General features: G+C 45.0%; 1 annotated feature.

Moving 5' to 3' along the window:
* Positions 237-437: a silencer, noted in NCBI's record as "peak6868 fragment used in MPRA reporter construct". NCBI's record gives its function as "represses an SCP1 promoter by STARR-seq MPRAs in K562 erythroleukemia cells {active_cell/tissue: K562}" and the evidence as "EXISTENCE:reporter gene assay evidence [ECO:0000049][PMID:32103011]".

A 1,681-nucleotide genomic window follows, 5' to 3' on the forward strand; every position in this document is an offset into this window, starting at 1 on the left:
GTTTGATTGGTTCTGTGTTTCCTTGTGTTTTCTTTAAAGATACTGAAGATTTTACAGCGGGGAATGGACATGGTCAGACTCACATCTAACAAAAGCCGGAAGATGATTCTGGAAGACACCGCCGTGGCAATTTGGCCAGGAGGTTCCAGAGATGGTGGTCTCAAAGGGGAGCAGTAGGAGCAAATGGGACCAGGAGGATTTTTCTCTTTTTTCTGGGAGAGGTATTTTTAAGGATGTAGAACTTATTTTCTGACAGAAAAGTAAACAAAATATGTAAGTATTGTGGCTATCTACTGTTCAGTGGAGATTTTCTGTACACCCATCAGGCCCCCAGTTCACACCACATCGCTAAGAATGTGCTACGTACTCCCCCGGGGTTCCTTCACAGCGTGCACATAAACAATCCTGCATCTGTACATGCACAGGTTACCACGTGTACGGTTTGCGCATAAACAATCCTGCATCTTTGCATGCACAGGTTACCACGTGTATGTAGTTATCAAGTATATGTTAATAAATTTCTTTTTGAGACAGAGTCTCGCTCTGTCGCCCAGGCTGGAGTGCAGTGGTGCAATCTTGTCTCACTGCAACATGCATCCCCCAGGTTCAAGCGATTCTCCTGCCTCAGCCTCCCGAGTAGATGGGATTACAGGTGCGTGTGAGCACGCCTGGCTAATTTTTGTATTTTCAGTAGAGACAGGTTTCACCATGTTGGCCAGGCTGGTCTCAAACTCCTGACCTTGTGATCTGCCCGCCTCAGACTCCCAAAGTGCTGGGATTACAGGCTTGAGCCACCGCGTCCGGCCACGAGTACCTTTTAATTGCAATAAAAATTGAATGTCTATCTCCCTCATTTCCCCCTTCAAACCCACTCCTTCACCGTTAACAGTTGATGATTTTAGTTCTTCCAGTGATTGTAAGTAATGTAAGTTAATATACAATTTGTGACATAACGTAAATAGTAAGTTTATATAAGTAATATAAGCTAACAAATGTGCCTCACTATGCAAGACGTGGAAGGTGTCTTAGGAAGGCAGGGCGCCTTGTCCCACCTTTTCTCTTCATTTCCTGCTGTTACTTATGTCAACATATTTAATTCTAGTTCTTGCCTCTCCTTGATGAAAGAGGAGGATATTAGCACACTAAACTTCCTTCTGCGTTTCTTCACTTGTCTCCTCCAGCAATTTTTTTTTTTTTTTTAGACAGAGCCTCACTCTGTTGCCCAGGCTGCAGTACAATGGCACAATCTCGGGTCACTGCAATCTCCACCTCCCGGGTTCAAGTGATTCTCCCGCCTCAACCTTCCGAGTAGCTGGGATTACAGGCGCCTGCCACCACACCCAGCAAATTGTTTGTATTTTTAGTAAAGATGGGGTTTCACTAAGTTGGCCAGGCTGGTCTCAAACTCCTGACCTCGTGATCCACCCGCCTCGGCCTCCCAAAATGCTGGGATTACAGGTGTGAGTCATGGCGCCCGGCCTCCAGTCTTCGTTAGTTGTCATTTTTACACTCCCAAGTTCTATGCTTACATTTCGTTTTGTAATTATAATCAACTCTTCTACACTTTGTCTACAGGGTGGCAGTATAACTGGAAAATGCAGTAAAAGACATTTGCGTTATTAGGGAAATACAACTCAAAACCACAGTGAGACACCACTTCACACCCACGAGGATGGCTATT

Source organism: Homo sapiens, chromosome 7 (genome assembly GCF_000001405.40).
Source record: "Homo sapiens chromosome 7, GRCh38.p14 Primary Assembly".
NCBI classification, from domain to species: Eukaryota; Metazoa; Chordata; class Mammalia; order Primates; family Hominidae; genus Homo; species Homo sapiens.